A 24,369-nucleotide genomic window follows, 5' to 3' on the forward strand; every position below is an offset into this window, starting at 1 on the left:
AGAGGGTTATAGTTGCCTCCTACTATATTTCTAAGTCAAAAGCTTTTAAACATAATTTTATTTGCACATTACTGCAGAAAAAATTAATGTAGCACATCCATGATGTCAGTGGCTTAGAATGTAGCAAAAAGAGTCAATATAAAGAGATTATGAAGAAAGGGATAATGTAGATAGTTGTACAGGACAGTCAGTGTTAGTTGTGCCTGAACCCTTCACCACAGTGATAAATCACTATTATAGTTAGTTTTAGAAGGGATCTTCTAATGCTTACATACCTAAATTTCTTTTTAACCTTTTTTCATGTTTATGGTGGTACCTATATACATTTTCAGAATTTTAATTGTATGCTAATATTTCCCCATTCGTATATATGGTTTTTTTTTTGGATGCAAATCCAACCAAGTGTTTCTTTTCCCCATTCATATTTAACGCTTAAATCCACTTAAATAATTATCTTAAATTTAAGATATGATAATTCCAGAAAGTTAACTCAATTGGTAACTTTTTAAATATCAGTGGTATCATTGATGCTTATGTATGGAGTTCTGGTGTTACTCTAGATACTTCGGACCTTCATGCAGATAAATGTAGAAGTTTCTTACTCTTGACATTTGTATCAGCCAGGAGTGGTGGCTCATGCCTGCAATCCCAGCACTTTGGGAGGCCGAGGCAGGTGGATCATGAGGTCAGGAGCTGGAGATCAGCCTAGCCAACATGGTGAAACCCTGTCTCTACTAAAAATACAAAAATTAGCCAGGTGTGGTGGTGGGCACTTGTAATCCCAGCTACTCAGGAGGCTGAGGCTGGAGAATTGCTTGAACCCAGGAGGTGGAGTTTACAGTGAGCCAAGATTGCTCCATTGTACTGCAGCCTGGGGGACAGAGTGAGACTCTGTCTCAAAAAAAAAAAAGACATTTATATGGGAGGGCATGGATGGGGCTTTTTCCAGTATAAAAGCTTCTGTATCAACAAGTACTATAGTAACTACTCAGTTAGATTGGAATTATGCTTCTTTCAAAGACGAGAACGATTATGAATGACAAGTTATTCTTCGCAGTGGCTCATGCCTGTAATTCTAGCACTTTGGGATACCAAGGCAGGAGGATTACTTGAGACCAGGAGTTTGAGATCAGCCTGGGCAACATAGCAAGACCACATCTGTTTAAAAAAAAAAAAATTATTCTCAGGTTACTGAGTGTTCCACTTTAATAAAATCCTAAATGTGTGAAAAATATACATTCAGGAAAAAGGAATCGTAGTATAAAAGAGTCCTTTATAATATGTGAGTATTGGCCCCAGAAATCCTATAACAAAAAGGAAAAAAGTATCAATGGTGTCAGAGAACTACAGCTATTATATATAAAGTGAAAAGTGGGAAAAACATGGAGTTTCTACTCTGGGTTTTATGATAGCATTTCAAGAAATCTCGTATTTGGTGAGAACTGGAGAGATATTCCAGTACAGACTTTCGTTCATTGTTTTATATAGTTGGCATTTTGAGTGCCAGCTGTGCCAGGCACTGGAGAGAACAGCAATGAAAAAATCAGTGTCTCTGATCTCATGAAGCCCACATGCTAATGTAGAGGAGACAAACAATAAGTGTGTGTGTGTGTGTGTGTGTGTGTGTGCGCGCGCGCGCGCGCGCACATTTGTAAATGTATTGTGTCAGATGATAAGTGCTATGAAGAAAACGTAGGGTAAGGTAGATACAGAGAGTACCGGGGTGAGAGAGAAAGTTTGCTTTTTTAAAGTGTAAAGTAGTTGAAGGTCTTGCGGTTAAGGTAAGATCCAAGTAAAGGAGTAGCTTGTCAATGTCACTCCTAAAGTGTTCCCTCACTGCCTCCACTAAAGATACGTGGACACATGCTCCAGATAAGGTCTGTCTTACCAGCAGTTTTCAGTGAGACTCTTGCCCATCTGAAGAAACCTACAAATTTCTACTTATTATAGTTCAAAACTAATCATGCCACTGTACTCCAGCCTGGGGAACAGAGAAAGACCCCATATCAAAAAAACAAACAAAAAATTTCCTTTACTGTTATGCCAGGGCTTCATTATTCTCTAATTGTGTATATCATTTCTTAAACCTCCAAGTAAGACTTTGCATTTATCTATGTTAATTTGCCTCTTGTTGATGTGGGCCCATTGTTATAGCCATTCAAACCCTAATTATGACATACAAGCATACCTTCATTTAAGCAGTTTTTTAATACATTTCATATTTATTTTCTGAAAACCAGACTAATCATTCATTAAACACTTTCCCTGTGTAAGACACTGTCTCATTTCTCCTTTTTTGATTCCAAGTCCGTTTTCATCGTGGGAGGCTTTACCAACTTGTAAGTAGTTTTTAGAAATTATGTCAATTCATTTTAATGCTATACTCCTAACCAGTATTTTGTAAGTTTAATGTTAAAATGTAATTAAAATCCTTGCATTTTTGTGATTTTATCATGAGTGTCTAAATGTAGTAGACCAGAAAAAGGTTAGTACTTTTTTTTTTTAACAATTTTCAAAAGGAATTCAGGTTTGATTATGAAAAGTTCAAGTAAAATGGAAAGGAGATTAAAATTTATTTATTTATTTGTTTGTTTGTTTATTTTTGAGAGAGAGTCTCACTTGGTCACCCAGGCTGGAGTGCAGTGGCGTGATCTCTGCTCACTACAACCTCCGCCTCCTAGGTTCAAGCAATTCTCCTGCTCAGCCTCTCAAGTAGCTGGGATTACAGGCCTGTGCCACCACACCTGGCTAATTTTTCTATTTTTAGTAGAGATGGGGTTTTACCATGTTGGTCAGGCTGGCCTCGAACTCCTGGCCTTAAGTGATCCACCCACCTCGGCCTCCCAAAGTTCTGGGACTACAGGCGTGAGCCACTGCACCCAGCCTAAAATATTTTTAAAAAGAAGTTTCTGTCAGAATCTGTTTGAGTGAACAGTTTAAATTTTTTTAATTAAAATAAGAAGGCTGAACTCCCAAGTCCTAATTTCTGGAGCTGTTACATTTTGGTCAGTGTTTTCTAGAGTATTCTCTGCATTCAAAAATTGCCATGTAACTTAACATAAACAGAACATGTGAATGTGTCTTATAACTTGTTTATTTCAGATAGCAGTAAATTATTGAGCATTTCATCTCAGAGTGTTGATACGTTATCCTTTTCAGTGGCTTCATAGTATTCCTTTGTTAGGCTATACCATGATTTATTTAACCCAATCTCAACTGATAGACATTAGATTGCTGTATATACTCCTTTACACATTTACTTAATTATCTGAAATCACTGTATTTCCCACCGTGGAATTTTTCACCCACCGCAAAAAGATTGTTAGAAACCTTGTCCTATGTGTAACATGTCTGTGAATGGTGTTGCCTCCTAGTGGCAGAGCTTAACAGCACAAACATCATAGCAGAAGTTTTTTTTTCACATAGATTGTGTTCAAAATGACACAAGCCATATGACTGTTTGAAAGTAGAGTTCAGGTTACTCCTCCTTACATTTTTATTTTATTTTATTTTATCTTATTTTATTTTATTTATTTTGAGACAGAGTCTCTCTTGGTCTCTCAGGCTGGAGTGCAGTGGCACGATCTCTTCTCACTGCAACCTCCACATCCCGAATTCAAGCGATTCTCATGCCTCAGCCTCTTAAGTAGCTGGGATTACAGGCACCCACCACCACGCCCAGCTAATTTTTTTTTTTTTTGTATTTTTATTAGAGATGGGGTTTCACCATGATGGCCAGGCTGCTCTCGAACTCCTGACCTCGAGTGATCTGCCTGCCTCGGCCTCCCAAAGTGCTGGGATTACAGGTGTGAGCCACTGTGCTCGGCAACCCTTTACATTTTAAATTTAAATGTATTACAATCTATGGCTTCTAAGCAAATGAAAAAGATAATAATAGAAATACAATATGTGTTCCTCTACAAATCCACTATAAAATTACTTTGTTAAATGATTTAAAAAAATTTTTTTTAAACTTGAGATTTTTGTTCCCAAAAAATTGTCTTGTAAAAAGTTATGTCAGGCGGGGCGTGATGGCTCATGCCTGTAATCCCAGCACTTTGGAAGGCCAAGGCAGGTGGATCACGAGGTCAGGAGTTTGAGACCACCCTAGCCAACATAGTGAAACCCAGTCTTTACTAAAAATACAAAAAATTATCCGGGCATGGTGGTGGGTGCCTGTAATCCCAGCTACTGGGGAGGCTGAGGCAGGAGAATCGCTTGAACCTGGGAGGCGGAGGTCGCAGTGAGCCAAGATCACACCACTGCACTCCAGCCTGGGTGACAGTGCGAGATTCTGTCCCAAAAAAAAAAAAAGTTATATCAGAGGTTAGGTGCAGTGGCTTAAGCCTGTAATCGCAGCACTTTGGGAGAATGAGATGGGTGGATCACTTCAGGCCAGAAGTTCAAGACCAGCCTGATTAACATGGAGAAACCCGTCTCTAGCCTAATGGTGGCGCAGGCCTATAGGCCCAACTACTTGGGAGGATGAGGCACGAGAATCGCTTGAACCTGGGAGGCAGAGGTTGCAGTCAGCCAAGGTTGCACCACTGCACTCCAGCCTGGGCAACAGAGTGAGACTCTGTCTCAAAAAAAAAAGGTATATTATTTGTTTCTAAATTCCTGTATGTAAAAAGGCATTACAGGCATATTATTTGCATCTGAATTCCTGTATGTACAAAGACTAACTAGATGAAAGTATAAAATAATAACTTGGCATAAATATTACCAATTAGTTGTTTTGGATTTTTTGGGTTTTTTTTTTTTTCTTTTTTTTTTTTTTTTTGAGACAGGGTCTTGCTCTGTCACCCAGGCTGGAGTGCAGTGGTGCGATCACTGCTCACTGCAGCCTCAACCTCCCAGGTTCAAGTGATCCTCCCCCCTCAGCCCCCCAAGTAGCTGGGACTATAGGCATGCCCCACCACACCCAGCTAATTTTTAAAAATTTTTTGTAGAGGCGGGATCTTGCCATGTTGCTCAGGCCAGTCTTGAACCCCTGGGCTCAAATGATCCTCCCACTGCAGCCTCCCAAAGTGCTGAGATTACAGGTGTGAGACACTGCGCCTGGCCCTAGTGTAAAAGTTTTAACCAAATTACACTCACCTGAGGCATTAAGACTGCTTTCCTCTTTTCTAGTATTCTTATGAATACTAGAAAATCGATAATACTAGGGTATTATCGATATTCTTGATCATTGCCAATTTTGAAGTCAATCAGTGATATCTTTTTTTGTTTTGTTTTGTTTTGTTTTGTTTTGTTTTGAGATGGAGTCTTGCTCAGTTGCCCAGGCTGGAGTGCAGTGGCACGATCTCAGCTCACTGCAAGCTCTGCCTCCCGGGTTCACACCATTCCCCTGCCTCAGCCTCCCGAGTAGCTGGGACTACAGGAACCCGCCACCACGCCTGGCTAATTCTTTTTGTATTTTTAGTAGAGACAGGGTTTCACCATGTTAGCCAGGATGGTCTCGATCTCCTGACCTCGTGATCCGCCTGCCTCGGCCTCCCAAAGTGCTGGGATTACAGGCTGAGCCACCGCGTCCAGCCAGTGATATCTTACTGTTTTTATTACATCTCTTTGATCTAGTGATATTGAGCATCTTTGAAAAACTATGTTGGTATATTATTTTGTATATTTGTATCTTATTAATTTGTGGTTTGATTTTTGCATGCAGCCTTTTCCTTTGTGGTTTTTTGGTTTCATGTCATGCTGTATACTAAAAAGACATTTTTTGATAGTTTCAAATGTTATATTTGTCTAATTATAAATGAAAGTTGTAAAAAAAAAAAAAGCAGCATGTTAGAATGTAAAGAGCTCTGACTTTAGAATTAAATTCCACCTTCTCCACGTATCATATATATTAGTTGGGTAGAATATTTAATCTCTCTGAACCTATTTGCTCATATGTGTAATGAGTACTACTTCATAAGGTTATCATTAGTATTAAATGCACATAAAATGCCTTTATTTTTATTTTATCTTATTGTATTTTATTTTTATTTTTGTGGTACAATCATGGCTCACTGCAACCTCCACCTCCTGGTCTCAACCAGTCCTCCACTACAGGTGTGCGCCACCACACCTGGCTAATTTTTGTATTTTTTGTAGAGATTGGGTTTTGCCGTCTTGCACAGGCTGGTCTCAAACTCCTAAGCTCAAGGTATCCGCCCGCCTTAGCCTCACAAAGTGCTAGGATTACAGGCATGAACTGCTGCGCCTGGCCTACATAAAACAACTTTATATGTGCCTAGCAAATAATGAATGTTTGTGTTTTCTTTCTTCTTAATATCCTGTCATTTCTCTGCTTTTGACAGATGATGTCAGTTCATACAGACTGTATTGTGTCAGTGCAGATTTTAAGTACATTGATGGAAATAACAATTAGAAATGGTAAGTATATCAACTTATTAAGATTTACCGTGTGTATTATTGGTTGCTATTTACATGGTATCTTTCACATTGCTAAATGTTAGTATATTTGGAAATATACAATACAAAATTATTTTTCTAATCAAAAGTCGTTTTTTTTGGTTTTTTTTTTGAGACAGAATCTTGCTGTCGCCCGGGCTGAAGTGCAGTGACACAATCTCAGCTCACTGCAACTTCCACCTCCCTGGTTCAAGCAATTCTCGTGCCTCAGCCTCCCAAGTAGCTGGGCCTACAGGCACACACCGCTATACCCAGCTAATTGTTTTGTATTTTAGTAGAGACAGGGTTTCACCTTGCTGCCCAGGCTGGTCTGGAACTCCTGAGCTCGGGCAATTTACCCATCTTGGCCTCCCACAGTGCTAGGATTACAGGCATGAGCCACCTCACCCGACCTCAAAAGTCTTTAATAATGAAATGGAACTTCAGTTAAACAACGAGTATCTGAATTTTCTTACTTGCATTGAGAAAAAGAATATAAGATCTTGCAAGTGGAAACCCTCACTTACTGTTTACCAAATCATGGCTTACTTTGCTTGATAAGTGGAAATGGTTCCAAACTTACTTAGCCAATTAAGTTTAATTGGCTTATTGGTAAGCAACAGTATTATACTGATAATACAGTAAGGCATATTGAAAGCATCCACTGTAAAAGTGTAACATTTGCTTTCTCATCTTTGAGAGCCCTTATAATAAAACAAGCATAGTGGTTTACCTGTTTCATCTGTCCTGGGGATTGGGACTATAAAGGCAATGAAGATGATAAAAAGTCTTCCTGTGTTATTGATAGTTGGGATTTTATCAGTGGTATTTCCAGCCATTTTAAAATGTGTTACTTCCTTCTGAGTTACACCCTTTTATCCATCACTCTCAGATATTTTCTTTATGTCATTTTCTTATTTTATTTGGGAATCTGTAATTCCTATGATCATCCTATAACTGTATTGTTAGCATAAAATTAGCAGCTGTCATTTCTATAAAACCATTGTAATTATTCATGTTTCACCTGCAGACTGTCACCTTGCAAATGTGGGTTTGTAGACCACAGATTTAGAATGAAATGTTTTCTTCTGTTAATTAGATACCTTCAGTGACTCACCAGTTTGGCCATGGATCCCATCATTGTCTGATGTAGCAGCTGTGTTTTTCAATATGGGGATTGATTTTAGATCTTTGTTTCCCCTGGAGAATCTTCAGCCAGACTTTAATGAAGACTATCTAGTGTAAGTTTTCTCATCATAATTAACGCCAAAAATATCATTTCGTACGACTTATATATAATTATAGCTAAAGTTTAATATTTATTTCTGATTTTTAAAAAGATCTCTCAAAGTTGAGATCAATCTTGAATTAGATACATTTTTAACATGTCTTAATCTAAAAGCCATCATCATGTTTAGCAGGCAAATAATAGAAATATTCTCATAAAAGTTTTGTTTTCTTTTTTAAAAGACTTTCCTTTGTTATTTAACATTGTTTTGGTGGAAGTATTGGCCAAAGTAATTAGACAAGAGAAAAAAAACAAGAGATACAAAAATTGGAAAGGAGTTGCTGAAAGATTATTTGTAGATGTGAGTTAATCTAGACATAGAAGCCTAAGACTCAGGTGAAAAACTATGACAAATAACTAAGAAAATTTGGTGTGGGTGTCTGGGTATAAAATTAGTAAAGAGAAATCAATAACCTTCAAATATCTGAAGTGTAACTAGTTAAAAGATACACTGGGCTGGGTGTGGTGGCTTACACCTGTAATCCCAACACTTGGGGAGGCCAAGGCAGGAGAATCACTTGAGGCCGGGAATTGGAAGTTGCAGCGAGTTCACCACAGTACTGCAGCCTGGGTGACAGAGTGAGACCTTGTCTTTAAAAAAAAAAAGGTGGGGGCCAGGCATGGTGGCTCACGCCTGTAATCCCAGCACTTTGGGAGGCCAAGGCGGGCGGATCACTTGAGGTCAGGAGTTTGAGACCAGTGACCAACATGGTGAAACCCTGTCTCTACTAAAAATACAAAAACGTTAGCCAGGTGTAGTGGCACGCACCTGTAGTCCCAGCTACTTGGGAGGCTGAGGCAGGAGAATCACTTGAACCCGGGTGGCGGAGGTTACAGTGAGCCGAGATCACACCACTGCACTCCAGCCTGGGTGACAGAGTGAGACTCCATCTAAAAAAAAAAAAGGAAACTGGTTACAGACAAAGTATTAATTTCAAGTCAATAAGAAAAAGATCAATACCTATTAGAAAAATGGGCAGAGGAAATGAATAGACTGATCACAGAAAAGGAAGTAAAAATGGAAAGGTAAAGGAAATAAAAGAGGAAAAAGTTGAATGTTTTCACTTAAACATTATGAAAATTCTCTTTCTACTCCATATAGGATCCCTGGTTACTCAGATGTAATCTGTATCTGAAAATATGTTGGATAGCAACATTTCAGCTAGAGACTATGTTTCATCACTTTAAATAGGAAAAATAGTTTACCCAGCCCATCCAAAAATCCCAACTATTTCCCCTAAATATTACAAGAATGTTCTTAAACACTTACATTTTAAAAGTTACCACAAGTTTCTGCATAATATAAACATTTAACATACCTCCTACTTTATTATTTAACATTTAGTGAACTCAGTAGTGTGTAGTAATTTTGTATGTTGTATACAACAATTTGAATTTTTCTTACTTTAGTGAGCATGTACAGTAGTGGAAATAAACTGGTAGTGGCTATAGTCACTATTGTTGTATACTGGTGAGTAAAGATGGGCACAAGCTTAACAAAAGTGATCTGGTGAAGGAATGAGTGCTGTGTAACAAAATGCCTGTTTAAACAACATGAGCATGAGTCTGGAAATGTGTGTGTGTGTGTTTGTTTGAGACAGGGTCTTGCTTTGTTGCGCAGGCTGGAGTGCAGTGACACAATCTCAGCTCACAGCAACCTCCACCTCCCAGCCTCAAGTGATCTTCCCACCTCAGCCTCCTGAGTAGCTGAGACCACAGGTACTCACCACCACGCCCAGCTAATATTTTTTTATTTTTTGTGGAGACGAAGTTTTGCCATGTTGCCCAGGCTGGTCTCGAACCCCTGAGCTCAGGCGATCCGCCGGCCTCAGCTTCCCAAACTGCTGGGATTACAGGCGTGAGTCACTGTGCCTGGCTTGAACTTGTTAAGATACAACCCCACTCACTGTTCTCTTTCTTTTCTTCTCTTCCTTCCCCTCCTTCCCTCCCTTCCCTCCCTTCCCCATCTTCCCCCACTTCTCCCCCTTCCCCTGCCCCTGCTCCTGCCCCTGCCCCTCCCCCTGCCCCTGCCCCTTCTCCTTCCTTCCTTCCTTCCTTCCTTCCTTCCATGAGATGAGGTCTTGGTCTGTCACTGAGGCTGGAGTGCAGTGGCACGGTTATGGGTCACTGCAGCCTCGAACTCCTGAGTTCAAGTGGCCCTCCTGCCTCAGCTTCCTGAGTACCCTGGGATTACAGACACACGCCACCATGCCTGGCCAATGTTTTTAAATCTTTTTATAGAGAGTGGATCTGGCTATGTTGCCCAGGCTGGTCTCAAAATCCTGGGCTCAAGCAATCCTCACACCTTGGCCTCCCAAAGTGCTGGGATTACAGGCATGAGCCACTGCACCTGGCCATCACTTTTCTTTTTTTAACCAGGACTCACAGCTTACCCATTTTTGCTGGTGTGTATATGCATATTCATCATGGCAAGTTCTCTATACAAATAGTAGATGTAGAGTGAAAATGTTTGCAGATTGTCAGAGTAAATATTTAGATAGAGAAAATTCAGATATTAAGGGATACTAGTACAATTCTTTTCTTGACCATTATTCTGCTAGATACATAGACTTAAAATTTAAGTCTAAATACATTCTAACCTCCTTCAATTCTGTATCCCTTCAATTCTCACATCCCTATGTTCCTTTTCCTCCACCTATGTCATATCTATTCATTCCTTTTCATTTCCTGAGTCAGTCTAATTCAGATTCTCTTTTCATGCCTAGCCTGGCAAAAAAATCTTTCTTCCAGGGCCTTTCCACCTGCAAGGTATTATTTTCACTGTTGCAGGAACTCGCTCTCTACTATTCTCAAACCTTTATACCCTATATTTAAGACTTTACGATTTTACCCTGACCTGTTTTCTGTTTTGTTGTCGGCTTTCTAATCAAATTGATCTGCCTGCTGTCCCTCCACACCATAATGACTAGCCCTTATATAGTGTTTGCTGTGTGCCAGACTCTGTTCTAAGGGCTTCACATAGTACCTCACTTAGTAGTTACTACAAATACTAGTAAGATTTTCATTTCCATTTTACAAGTAAGGTCAGCACGGAGAGGTTAAGTAACTTGCCCAAGGTTATACAACTAGGAAGGGGCGCAAAGAAGTACTAAGCAGCTATTTTGAAAAACAAGTTCTTCACATGTAGCTGTGGAAGTATCTCCAAGATACATTGCTAAGTGAGAAAAGGAAGCTGCAAAGGTATGTAATATACTAACATTTGTATTAAAGGTGGAGGGGGAGTGATAAAGGGTAAAAAAATGTTTCCTCTACATTTACAACACTTCTGGCATCAAATATATAGGTTTTCTACACATTGTCATTTCTCCAGTTCCCTGTAGACACCAACTAGATGTCCTGCAGTTTAATGCAATTCTAGTTCTAATTACCCAGAGTTAGCACAGAGCCCACAGGTTAAGGACTCAATCCCACAAGACTGCCACCACTTCATATGGAATCACAAGTCTGGGCTTCCTTTTCTTCTAAACAACTAGCTATAAATCAGGAGTTCCTACAGTCCTCCTCCCATTTATGTTCAATAATATGCTAGAATGGCTCACAGAACTCAGGAAAGCAGTTTACTTACTATTATTGGTTTGCTGTAAAGGGTACAACTCAAGAACAGCCAAATGGAAGAGATACGTTGCGCAAGGTATGGGGATGGGAGTGCATAGAACTTCCCTGGCCTCTCCAGGTACTCCACCTTCCCATCATTTTTTTTTCTTTCTTCCTTAATAGAGAAGACAAGAGTTTTGCCTTTGAAGTCTTGCTGTCGCCCAGGCTGGAGTGCAGTGGTGTGATCTCAGCTCACTGCAACCTCCACCTCCCAGGTTCAAGTGATTCTCCTGCCTCAGCCTCCCGAGTAGCTGGGATTACAGGCACCCGCCACCACGCCAGCCTAATTTTTCTATTTCTAGCAGAGATGGGGTTTCACCATGTTGGCCAGGCTGGTCTCGAACTCCTGACCTCGGGTGATCTGCCTGCCTCAGCCTCCCAAAGTGCTGGGATTACAAGCGTGAGCCACCATGCCCAGCCAAATTTTGCCGTATTGCCCAGGCTAGTCTTGATCTCCTGGGCTCAGGCTATCCGCCTGCCTCAGCCTATCAAAGTGCTGGGATTCAGGTGTGAGCCCACCCCACCCCACCCACTCTCTCATCATTTGATGCCTTAGCCAATCCAGAAGCTCTCTGAACTTTAGGGTATTTATGGAGGGCCCATTACACGGGCCTGGTTGATTAAAGCATTAGCCATTTTAATCTTTAACCCCTCTGGGTGGGACTGAAAGTTTCAGCCTTCTAGTCACATGATTGATAACTCTGGCAACCAGCCCCCATCCTCTAGGAGTCACAATATTATTAGCATAAATTTAGGTATGGTTGAAAAGGGCTTATTATAAATAACAAAAGAGGCTCCTTCTACCTTATCAGACATTCCAGAGGTTTTAGGAGCTCTGTGCCAGGAATTGGGGACAAAGATCAAATGTATTTCTTCTTATACCACAGTGGGACATATATTCATATTTGTTTGTTTATACATAAAATGCCAATGGAAGGAAGGACTAAAACTTGTAGTAATTATCTTAGGAAGGAAACGAGTGGTTATAAAGAACGGAGCTAGGAGGGCAGTTTATCACAGCATACTGTACCTTAATATATTTTGATTTTTTAAAACCATATAAAAGTATTATTTTTTCAAAAAATTAAAAATGTTATCTATCTTTTGAAAGCTAAGTTCATGCATCTCCTTTTTCATGAATCTTCACTGATAACCTCTGATAACTAGAGTGCTTTGAATTGTTTCTGTATATTGCTATAGCAGTTTCTTTAGGCCATTTATGAGTCTTTTACCTATTATGAATTCTTTTTAGTCAGAGCCATCTTCTACATAGCTCTCTAACACCAACAGCAATGAGGATAGTACCATATAAAAAGTAGCTTGTTCAAGAGAAAACTGATGCATAATGATAGAAATCATTAGTGTTTGCCTTGAGTCAGGGATAGCAGATTGACTTGGATTTGGCATAAAGAGACTTTTGAGGGGAATGGAAATGTTCTATTTCTTGATTTGGATGGTGGTTACATTAGTATATATGATTATCAAAACTTAAAATGGGTACATTCCTTTTATTGTATGTAAATTATACCTCGATAAAACATAGTTTTTAAAAAGTAGCCCAGAATTTCTTAAAGTGAGTTATATATTTTGTGCCTAACTTCACATTGCTTTACTCACTTCTCAATAGTTCTGAAACACAGACAACATCAAGGGGGAAAGAAAGTGAAGATTCATCTTATAAGCCAATTTTTTCAACACTTCCTGAAACCAACATTTTAAATGTGGTTAAGGTAGGAAAGAACTTTTATGTGTCTTCTGCTCAGAGCTAGAACCATTTAGTCTGTGGTTAATGGTTTTTAAAAAAAAAAAAGTCTCGGCCGGGCGCGGTGGCTCACGCCTGTAATCCCAGCACTTTGGGAGGCCAGGGCGGGCAGATCACAAGGTCAGGAGATCGAGACCATCCTGGCTAACACGGTGAAAACCCGTCTCTACTAAAAATACAAAAAATTAGCCAGGCATGGCAGCGGGTACCTGTAGTCCCAGCTATTCAGGAGGCTGAGGCAGGAGAATGGCGTGAACCCAGGAGGCGGAGCTTGCAGTGAGCCGGGATCGTGCCACTGCACTCTAGCCTGGGCAACAGAGCAAGACTCTGTCTCAAAAAAAAAAAAAAAAAAAACTCTCTAGTTTCTTACCAGGTGATTTCCAGTCTCTGAAATTTCTTAGCAATAATCTTTGTATTAAAAATTGTTTTTGCTGTTTTTATTTTGTTTTAATATTAGTGATGAACAGAACTTTAAGTCAGTTACATCATTAAATAGTTTTGAAACCAATAGTTTTTTATAAGTAGGATGTATGAAGAAAAAAGACTTACAATACAACTTAGTAATCAAGAGTTAATGGCAGAGGCCGGGCGCGGTGGCTCATGCCTGTAATCCCAGCACTTTGGGAGGCCAAGACGGGTGGATCACCTGAGGTCAGGAGCTCAAGACCAGCTTGGCCAACATGGTGAAACCCCATCTCTACTAAAAATACAAAAAAAAAATTAGTCAGGCGTGGTGGCAGGTGCCTGTTATCCCAGCTACTGGGGAGGCTGAGGCGGGAGAATCACTTGAACCCGGGAGGTGGAGGTTGCAGTAAGCCGAGATCACACCACTGTACTCCAGCCTGGGCGACAGAGTGAGACTCCGTCTCAAAAAAAAGAAGATAAAAAAAAAAAGAGTTAATGACAGTGTGAAACATTTTTAGTTGCTGAATTGAATCAGTGATACAGAACCATTAAGAAAATCTCAAAAATGGAAAATGGAGAAGAAAATGCCACTTAATTCAACTATTAACATTGAGTAGTTCTTGCCTTCTTTTCTCTAGACATCGGATGTTTGTTTTCTTTATAGTTCTTTTTTGCATCTTTTGTCAAAAAGAGTTTATAATTAAAACTCTAAAAGTAAAATATACCTCCTAAAATATTTTTGTCTGTGCATTTATGTTAAACAGTTTCTAGGCTTGTGTACATCTATACATCCAGAAGGTTACCAGGATCGTGAAATAATGTTGCTGATTTTAATGTTATTTAAAATGAGTTTGGAAAAACAGCTGAAACAGATTCCTTTAGTAGACTTTCAAAGCCTCCTGATAAACCTGATGAAAAACATCAGAGATTGGAACACAAAGGTAATGTTACTTAAAACTTCATTATTCATTTTTTATATAGCATTACAATTTGACTCATAGTGCATATGGAATTAATACTGTTTCTAAACTCAAGATCTTTGGCGGATTAAAAATGAACTGAGGAAGGGAATGTTTGCTGGAGCTGTATTATTTAAATTCGTGATAATTGAATTTTTTCTAAAACTTCAACTCTTTATCCAACAAAAATGTGTTTATTGGGGATTTCCTATGGACTAAGCATTAATGTAGGTGCTAGAGATTGAGCTGTGAAAGAGACAAAGCCTTTGCCTTCATGGGGCTTTTGTCCTAGTCAAAGGGTTAGATAAACAAGTAAATGTTGATTATATTATCATGTCAGGTAGTAGTTAAGTACTACAAATGAAAATAAAGCAGGACATGAGTACAGCAAGACCAGATGCTATGCTATTTCATATAAGGCTGGCAGGGAAAGGCCTTTCCAAAATAACCTTGGAGCAGAGACCTAAATGAAATGATGGAGTGAGTCATACCTACAACCAGAATTTGAGTTGAACTTCTGCAACCATATGGAGGATGAACATGTATAATTTTTGTTAGGCCTTTTTAAAAATTATATTTTTCAGTCTTTTTTGGTGGAAAAATTAAAATATGCAAAAGTAAGGCAAAGAGTATAATAAATTCCTAAGTATCACTTTGCTTCAATAATTGAGACATAATCTTGCCTAATGTAAAACCGACCCTATATTTCCTTTCCCTGCTCATCAGATTATTTTGAAGCAACTGTTACGCTTTTTTAAAAATTGATACACAATGGTAATACATATTTTGGGGGTGTTAGGCTTTTTTTTTTTTTTTTTTCTGTAAGACAGCATCTCCTGTCACCCAGGCAGGAGTGCAGTGGCGCAGTCTTGTCTCAGTGCAGCCTCTGCCTTCCGGATTCAGGCGATTCTCATTCCTCAACCTCCCGAGTAGATGAGACTATAGATACATGCCACTCCGCCCAGCTAATTTCTGTGTATTTAGTAGAGACAGGGTTTTACCATTTTGGCCAGGCTGGTCTCAAACTCCTGGCCTCAAGTGATTCACCTCCCTCGGCCTCCCAAAGTGCTGGGATTACAGGCTTGAGCCACCACACCTGGCCAGGTGTTAGGCTTTTAAAAATACTGGAATAGGATCCCTAAAGTGCAAGAAATCCCAAATCAGGAACATATATGGTCTTGTACAGCTCTCATACACATTTGTATTTAGATCAGTTTATCTTTCCAAGAAGGACTGTTTAAATATCAATGGGAGATATGATGTAGTACAAAACGTGAAAGCCAAGTGAAATTCTGCTAAATGTATCTGTTCAGTCCATTTAAGATAGTATAAGTAAAACTGAATCTGTGTATTGTGTACATTTTAGCAGATTCTAGACTCCATGCTATTTCTAAAAATGTGCTCTGTTTTGTACTAGTGCTTCCATTATGTCAAGAAGGGTTGTAGATGATCTGTTGGGTGTTTTATTCTACTGTTCTGTTTGAAAAGAAATCTTACATGTTCTTTTTTTTCAGGTGCCTGAACTCTGTCTGGGCATAAATGAACTCTCCAGTCATCCCCACAACCTCCTGTGGTTGGTACAGCTGGTCCCTAATTGGACATCACGTGGAAGGTATTAAAAAGTGAAAATTAAACATTAAGAAATTTTATAATTTTACATTAATGAAATGCCTTGGGTTGTTTATTTCCATTCATCATTCTTTGAATGTTAGATCAGATATGTTTATTTCATATTCAGTTGCGAGAAAAGGCATTGATAGCCTGATTCTGCCTTATTCTAATTCTTAACTCAGGTCATTATGTAATTTTTTTTTTTTTGAGACAAGAGTCTCACTCTGTCACCCAAGCTGAATATTTTTTTATTTTTAATTTTAGTTTATCTGTTACCTTAATACAGATGACATATTCCACAAAAATAAATGAATTAGCTTTTTTTTGCTTTAGTAAAAATAAATTTCATCAGTAAAAAAATAGGTTTTCTGTCAGTAAATCATCAGGGTCAAAGATAAGGCCGTTAAATGATTTATTGAGCTTCAGATAACTCAAGTTTTATGTACAGATATTTTACATGAAAATTTTACTGTTCTATAACAGCTTATATGTTCCTGTACAGACTTCTCTTGAAACATTGCCTATATTTCCAATTAGAACTAGAGCTCCTCTTGGCTCATTCATTTGCTTTTCAAGCAGTATTAATTAAAATACATTCTAAATACTTTTAACTTCTAATTCTAGGCAACTGAGACAGTGCCTCAGTCTAGTGATTATTTCAAAGCTTTTGGATGAGAAACACGAAGATGTTCCTAATGCCAGTAATCTGCAGGTATAAATAAATACATTTTTATTTTTAATAAATGGGAGAGGTAATGAGAGGTGTAAGGAAAATTGATGAACCCTAAGTCAAAGGTCCTGGGGTCAGAGCTCAGCTCTTAAGCTTGATACTGTTCATGTAATCTCTAGCACACTTAACTAACAAGATCCAATTTTTTCATCTGTGAAATGGAGATAATATTGCACCCTCCACCACTTAGGGTGGTTGTGGACAATCAGATGTGAATTAATGTATAAAGAAACTACTGGGAAAATCATAATGTGCAATTATATGAATATGATTTCATTTATTGAATTAGTTCAGCTTTTCCAAGTTAGCAATTTTATCACAAGATTAGAAATTGCAAAACCCTTGTACATTGATTGCATCTTTAACCTGTTTTAAAATGAGTCTTTTTAGATCATAGAGCTTAAATGTAGTTGCCCTCTAGTACTTGTTCAGTAAGAATATATCATGTATATATGAGAGTGTGGATAAACATGTCCAGCTGTTGCTGGGTACTGGTGGCACACACCTATCGTCCCAGCTACTTGGGAGGCTGAGGCCAGAGGATCCTTTGAATCCAGGAGTTCAAGTCCAACCTAAGCAACATAGGGAGACCTTGTCTTTAATATATATATGAATGTTTTTAATTAAAAAAAATGTCCAATGGAAGTCCCACTCTGAGTAAAATTCTGAAGGCTTTTTATAAACATTGATAGCACTAATGGGGCTGCCCTTGCTTGGATTTGAAAACTCACCATAGGATGGGCACAGTGGCTCACGCCTGTAATCCCAGCACTTTAGGAGGCCGGGGCAGGTGGATCACGAAGTCAGGAGATCAAGACCATCCTAGCCAACACGGTGAAACCCCGTCTCTACTAAAAAAAATACAAAAAAATTACCCGGGCATGGTGGCGGACACGTGTAGTCCCAGCTACTCGGGAGGCTGAGGCAGGAGAATGACATGAACCCAGGAGGTGGAGCTTGCAGTGAGCCGAGATCACGCCACCGCACTCCAGCCTGGGCAACAGAGCGAGACTCTGTCTCAAAAAAAAGCCCCATAGAACCTGATCTGGATGTCCCTTTGTTCTTGTTTGAATTGCAATTTGGTACAAGGTATGCCACCAGATCCTAGGAATTAAAACAAACAAAGATTTAGATTAGAGACTCTGCCCTTGAAAACATAATCTAATGGTTGAAACAAAATTAACCAACTCTTATGGGTTAGTGTGGTAAGAACAGTAATCGAAGCATGCACGAGATGCTGTGGGATGGAGAGACTGATGGGCACAGCTGGTTTCTGCTTTAGTAGAATTGAGGTAGATTTGATTCCAGATATATGGGGATCATGCTGGAGCTACCAGGATAATTAGCAGATAGTTCTCATTCCTTTCATTGATATTTACTGCCTTCAAAAGAGATCCGGGGATAGGATTTCTACCATTTCTCCTAACTTTTGTTGTTCTGTTACTTTTTCCTTTTTTGCCCATGTAAAATAGAATAATTAGCTGAATAATTACATGAATAATTAACCCTCAAACTCACTAACTGATATTCAAGTAACAATCTAGTTGTGATTTTTACCACAACTTCTTGTAGTTCTTCTCAGAATTCAATGACTTCTAACCACAGAGTCAACTTTGTTGACTTTCAAATAATTTAACAGAGAAAGCATTCCCTGTGGCCTCTATGATAATATCGTTTGGTCTCCTAAGCATTTATCCTAAGTTACAAGTACTAAATCTTTAACTTAAAATCCCTTTTTTTTTTTTTGAGAGATGTAGTATTGCTCTGTCACCCAGGCTGGAATGCAGTGGCACAATCTCGGCTCACTGCAACCTCCACCCCGCATATTCAAGTGATTCTCGTGCCTCAGCCTCCCGAGTAGCTAGGACTACAGGCATGTGCCACCATGCCCAGCTAATTTTTGTATTTTTAGTAGAGGCGGGGTTTCTCCACGTTGGCCAGGCTGGTCTTGAACCTCTAACCTCAGGTGATTCACCTCCCTTGGCCTCTGAAAGTGTTGGGATTACAGGTGTGAGCCACCGTGCCCGACCACTTAAAATCCCTTTTTAAGCAATTCAGGGTTTTACATAAAGGGAAAATGGATATTGTTAAGTGTAAAGAAAGCTATAATAAAAGGACAAAATGAAAGAGTACACACTGGAAAAAAATAGCCTAAGAAAGAACAACTATATTATTTAGCTTTGTTCAATGTCTCCTCTTTCTTTTGATAGGTATCAGTCCTACATCGCTATCTTGTGCAGATGAAGCCTTCTGATTTGTTAAAGAAAATGGTCTTGAAGAAAAAGGCTGAACAACCAGATGGCATTATTGATGACAGTCTTCATTTAGAACTTGAAAAGCAGGTATCCAGTGCTAGAAGGTCTCAAAGAGTACATAGAAGCATAACTGTTATCAGCTTACTAACCATAGACTGATATGTAGGCATTTCTGGATTTGGACACTAGACACATTCTAGCAAACATAATTTTAAAGCGAATAATATTTTTAATTTATCACTGTCATGAAATTCTTCCATAAATTTGAGAGTTGAAAATTTAGGTAAAAGGATGATTGTTGGTAATTTGCTCCCAAGAGTATTTTTTGTAGCCCTTTATTAGGGCAGTCGTGAGGTCATGAATCATGGTAAAAAGAATGCACTTGAGTTAGAAATGAGAAAGCCTAGTTTAGATGCTTCGCTTTTACTTACTGACCAGCTGGGTTAACTTGACCGTATCCTTTATCCTTCCTGGGCAATTTTCCTAATGTGTAAATTGGAATGACATCTATGCTAGCTAATTCATAGGTGTTAATTTTATTCATTTCTCTAACAGGCATATTACCTGACCTACATTCTTCTTCATTTAGTCGGTGAAGTTAGTTGTTCTCATTCTTTTTCTTCTGGACAACGGGTAGGTAGTGTTTAGTGTTGTTGCTGCTGTTTTTAAATAGGTGTTACTGATGATGGAATGAGTGAGCATGCTTTATATAGGAGAAAACTATGTAAACTTTTCTTAATATAAAAGCTAATTGATTTTGCTATAAGAATTCCCATGTATACCAGAAAGAGGGGCATGATAATGGTCTTGTAACTATATCGTATTGAAAAGAATTGTTGGCCAGGCGCCATGGCTCACGCCTGTAATCCCAACACTTTGGGAGGCCAAGGTGCGTGGATCACTTGAGGTCAGGAGTTCAAGACCAGCCTGGCCAACATGGTGAAACCCCATCTCTACTAAAAATACAAAAAAATTAGCCAGGCGTTGTGGCAGGTGCCTGTAATCCCAGCTGTTCGGGAGGCTGAGGCAGGAGAATCGCTTGAACCCGGGAGGTGGAGGTTGCAGTGAGCCGAGATTGCGCCACTGCACTCCAGCCTGGGCAACAAGAGTGAAACTCCATCTCAGAAAAAAGAAGAAAAGAATTGTCAGCAAATGTTAATTCTGTTTGTTGGAGTGGAACTTAACCATTATACTTTGGCAGCAGTATAATATATTCATAAGATACCAACATCACCAAATACCAAATGGGCTGGTGTTGTGCTGGACCCATATTGACTCCAGTAGAAATGGCAGTCAGGTGGCAGCAGGCTACACAGGAGAACTGCTACCATCTGTAGAGACCATGCAGTTTACATAGCATTTTCACTTAGCACCCTTTACCTAGCAACCTCCATGTAACCAAGAACAAAGGGCCTGCATCCCGTATGGCCTTACAAGGGATGAGCCGGGGGTTCAGATGTCCTTCATAGGTAAGGAGTGAAACTCCATGTTGGCCACTCCCAGATTATTTGGCTTGGGACTCCAGTTACACATTCTTCTTAGACCATAGGTTCATTTTCAGAGTATGCTTTAGTTATTGCTGTCAGATGCATCTGCCATACAGCCAGCTTTTAGCTCGTTTCTTCCCATTTCTTTGCCATTCCCCTTTTGTTCCTTTAGAAATAACATTTGCCTTCAAAATTAAACTGATGGTAAGGCAGGCTGCTTTGGAAATGCATTTCTAATATTCAGATTTTCATTTTGAATTATTCTTCCCATACTCCTGGGGAAAGATCTTGCTTAATTCCTTTTATTTCATATCTTAACTATTCCAATTCCTGTTTTAAAACTTAGGTCGGACATGCCGGGCACGGTGGCACACCCCTGTAATCCCAGCACTTTGGGAGGGTGCGGTGGGTGGATCACTTGAGGTCAGAAGTTCAAGACCAGCCTGGCCAGCATGGTGAAACCCCGTCTCTACAGAAATACAAAAAGTTAGCCGGGCGTGTTGGTGCGTGCATGTAATCCCAGCCACTCGGGAGGCTGAGACAGGAGAATCGCTTGAACCCAGGAGGCGGAGGTTGCAGTGAGGCAAGATCGTGCCATTGCACTCCAGCCTGGGCAACAGAGCGAGACTTCATCTCAAAAAAAAAAACCTTAGGCTGGACGTGGTGGCTCATGCCTGTAATCCCAGCACTTTGGGAGGCCAAGGCGGGCGGATCACTTGAGGTCAGAAGTTCGAGACCAGCCTGGCCAACATGATGAAACCCTGTCTCTACTAAAAATACAAAAAAAAAATTAGCTGGGCATGGTGGCAGACACCTGTAATCCCAGCTACTCTGGAGGCTGAAGCAGGAGAACTGCCTGAACCCAGGAGGTGGAGGTTGCAGTGAGCTGAGATCACACCACTATACTCCAGCCTGGGCAACAGAGGGAGACTCCACCTCAAAAAAAAAAAAAAGAAAAAAATACATAGTATCTCCTAGACATGATAGAAAAGACACAAGACTAATTCTTATGTTTTTATAAATGCTGTTGTATATAAAACTGTGTTTGCGGTTGGGCACAGTGGCTCACACATGTAATCCCAGCACTTTGGGAGGCTGAGGCGGGTGGATCACCTGAGATCAGGAGTTCGAGACCAGCCTGACCAACATGGTGAAACCCTGTCTCTACTAAAAATACAAAAATTAGCCGGGCGTGATGGTGGGCACCTGTAATCCCAGCTACTGGGGAGCCTGAGGCAGGAGAATTGCTTGAACCCAGGAGGCGAAGGTTGCAGTGAGCTGAGATCACGCCATTGCACACCAGCCTGGGCAACAGGAGCAAAATTCTGTCTCAAAAACAAAAAGTGTTTGCTCTTCTGATTAGAAGCTAATATAGTCATCTGTAATGTTCTTACATGGTTTTTATATTTTATACATTTTTTTTTTCGAGACGGAGTCTTGCTCTGTCACCCAGGCTAGAGTGCACTAGCACAATCTTGGCTCACTGCAACCTCTGCCTCCCAGGTTCAAGCGATTCTCCTGCCTCAGCCTCCCAAGTAGCTGGGATCACAGGCGCCTGCCACCACATCCACACCCAGCTAATTTTTGTATTTTTAGTAGAGATGGGGTTTCACCATGTTGATCATGTTGCTCTCGAACTCCTGACCTTGTGATCCGCCCACCTCGGCCTCCCAAAGTGCTGGGATTACAGGCCTGATCCACCATGCCGGCTATAAATTACTTTTTATGATTAAAAAAGTCAGTGACTGGGCATGGTGGCTCATGCCTGTAATCCCAGCACTTTGGGAGGCTGAGTCAGGAGGATCACTTGAGCCCAGGAGTTCAAGAGCAGCCTGGGCAATGCCATCTCTGTTTAAAAAAAAAAAAAATTTAGTGATTATTGTAAAACTTATATAAAGTAAAACCTGAAAGACTCCTACAATCCAGTGCCCTCCTGTAAATTTCTTCACAATTTACTAATATATTACATATAATATACTAACAATTATTTTAACAAAAATGTAATCATAGTATCATTTGCAACTTCCTTTTTTTCCTCTTTAAAAAAAAATTTTTTTTTCTTTTTGAGACAGTCTTGCTCTGTCACCCAGGCTGAAGTGCAGTGGCACGATCTCAGCTCACTGCAACCTCCGTCTCTTGGGTTCAAGTGATTCTCCTGCCTCAGCCTCCCGAGTAGCTGGGACTAGAGGCATGTGCCATGATGCTGGCCAATTTTTGTATTTTTGGTAGAGACGGGGTTTCATCATGTTGGCCAGGCTGGTCTCGAACTCCTGACCTCAAGTGATCCACCCGCCTCAGCCTCCCAAAGTGCTGGTATTACAGGCGTGAGCCACTGTGCCCGGCCTCCTCTTTAAGACATTAGCACTTGGCTGGGCGCAGTGGCTCACAACTGTAATACTAGCACTTTGGTAGGCCGAGGCATGCAGATCGCTTGAGCCCAGGAGTTCAAGTCCAGCCTAGGCAACAGAGCAGCATGCCATCTTTACAAAAAAAAAAAAAATTAACCGGGCATGGTGATGCATGCCTGTAGTCCCAACTACTTGGGAGGCTGAGGCAGGAGGAACACCTGAGCCTGAGGAGGTTGAGGCTGCCATGCACTGTGGTCATGCCACTGCCCTCCAGCCTGGGTGACAGAGTGAGACCTTGTCTCAAAAAAATATATAAAAAATCAAATATTTGTACTTCTATCTAATAACTATAGTATTTTGAAACCTTTATTGATAAACAGTATGTTTTTTGTGATTGCACATAGTGTTAATATGAACATGCTTATTCATATATCTTTGCCCACTTCTGCAAGCATAGCTATAAGGTAAATTCCTAGAAGTAGAATTGTTAGATCAAAGTTTATAAATATTTCAAATTTTAATTATTTTAAATCGCTATTATCACATTTTCATCCCAGAAAGTGTTCATTTACGTTCTCACCAAGTATATGTGAGAGAACTGCTTAGGTCTATACATTTCTAAAATTTAAGATGCATAATTTTTCAAAGAATTAAGTATGAACCTCTATTAATGAAAGGTTATCTTGTTCCTATAGAAAAAAAAATAGGCCAGGTGTGGTGGCTCATGCCTGTAATCCAACACTTGGGGAAGCAGAGACAGGAGGATTGCTTGAGCCTAGGAGTTTAAAACCAGCTTAGGCAACATAGCAAGATGCTGTCTCTACAAAAAAACAAAAACTAGCTAAGTGTGGTGGCACGTACCTGTAGTCCCAGCTACCCAGAAGACTGACTGAGATGTGAAGATTACTTGAGCCTATGAGTTCAAAGGTGCAGTGAGCTATGATCCCACCATTGCACTCCAGCCTGGATAACAAGGCAAGACTCTCTTTTTTTTTTTTTTTTGAGATGAAGTCTCACTCTGTCACCCAGGCTGGAGTGCAGTGGCACAGTCTCGGCTCACTGAAAGCTCTGCCTCCCGGGTACACGCCATTCTCCTGCCCCAGCCTCCCGAGTAGCTGGGACTACAGGTACCCGCCACCACGCCCGGCTAATTTTTTTGTATTTTTAGTAGAGACGGGTTTTCACCATGTTAGTGAGGATGGTCTTGATCTCCTGACCTTGTGATCTGCCCGCCTCGGCCTCCCAAAGTGTTGGAATTACAGGTGTGAGCTACCTCGCCCGGCTGACCCTATCTCTTAAAAAAAAAAAAAGTCACAAACTGATTTTGCTATAAGAATTCCCATATATACCAGAAAGAGGGGCATGATAGTGGTCTTGTAATCATGTCATATTGAAAACATTATTTGTCAACAAATGTTAGCTCTGTTTGTTGGAGTGGAATTTAACCATTATACCTTGGCAGCAGTATAATACATTCATAAGATACCAACATCACCAAATATCAAAT

General features: G+C 40.0%; 1 protein-coding gene across 7 annotated transcripts in view; it reads left to right on the top strand.

Moving 5' to 3' along the window:
* SLF2 (SMC5/6 complex localization factor 2) overlaps positions 1 to 24,369 on the top strand; it is a 52,172-nt gene that overhangs the window by 18,131 nt on the left and 9,672 nt on the right. For 6 of the 7 annotated variants that reach the window (XM_047425461.1, XM_047425462.1, XM_011539944.4 and 3 more), the window contains exons 10-17: positions 6,309 to 6,384; positions 7,502 to 7,643; positions 12,933 to 13,035; positions 14,237 to 14,413; positions 15,946 to 16,043; positions 16,667 to 16,754; positions 18,983 to 19,114; positions 19,583 to 19,660. In XM_047425461.1, coding sequence (XP_047281417.1) covers positions 6,309 to 6,384; positions 7,502 to 7,643; positions 12,933 to 13,035; positions 14,237 to 14,413; positions 15,946 to 16,043; positions 16,667 to 16,754; positions 18,983 to 19,114; positions 19,583 to 19,660 — 894 coding nt within the window. Of the gene's footprint in view, positions 1 to 2,307; positions 2,340 to 6,308; positions 6,385 to 7,501; positions 7,644 to 12,932; positions 13,036 to 14,236; positions 14,414 to 15,945; positions 16,044 to 16,666; positions 16,755 to 18,982; positions 19,115 to 19,582; positions 19,661 to 24,369 lie in introns of those variants that run through there. The other variant, XM_047425463.1, reaches the window with a different exon arrangement.

This window comes from Homo sapiens, chromosome 10, assembly GCF_000001405.40.
Source record: "Homo sapiens chromosome 10, GRCh38.p14 Primary Assembly".
Lineage (NCBI taxonomy): Eukaryota > Metazoa > Chordata > Mammalia > Primates > Hominidae > Homo > Homo sapiens.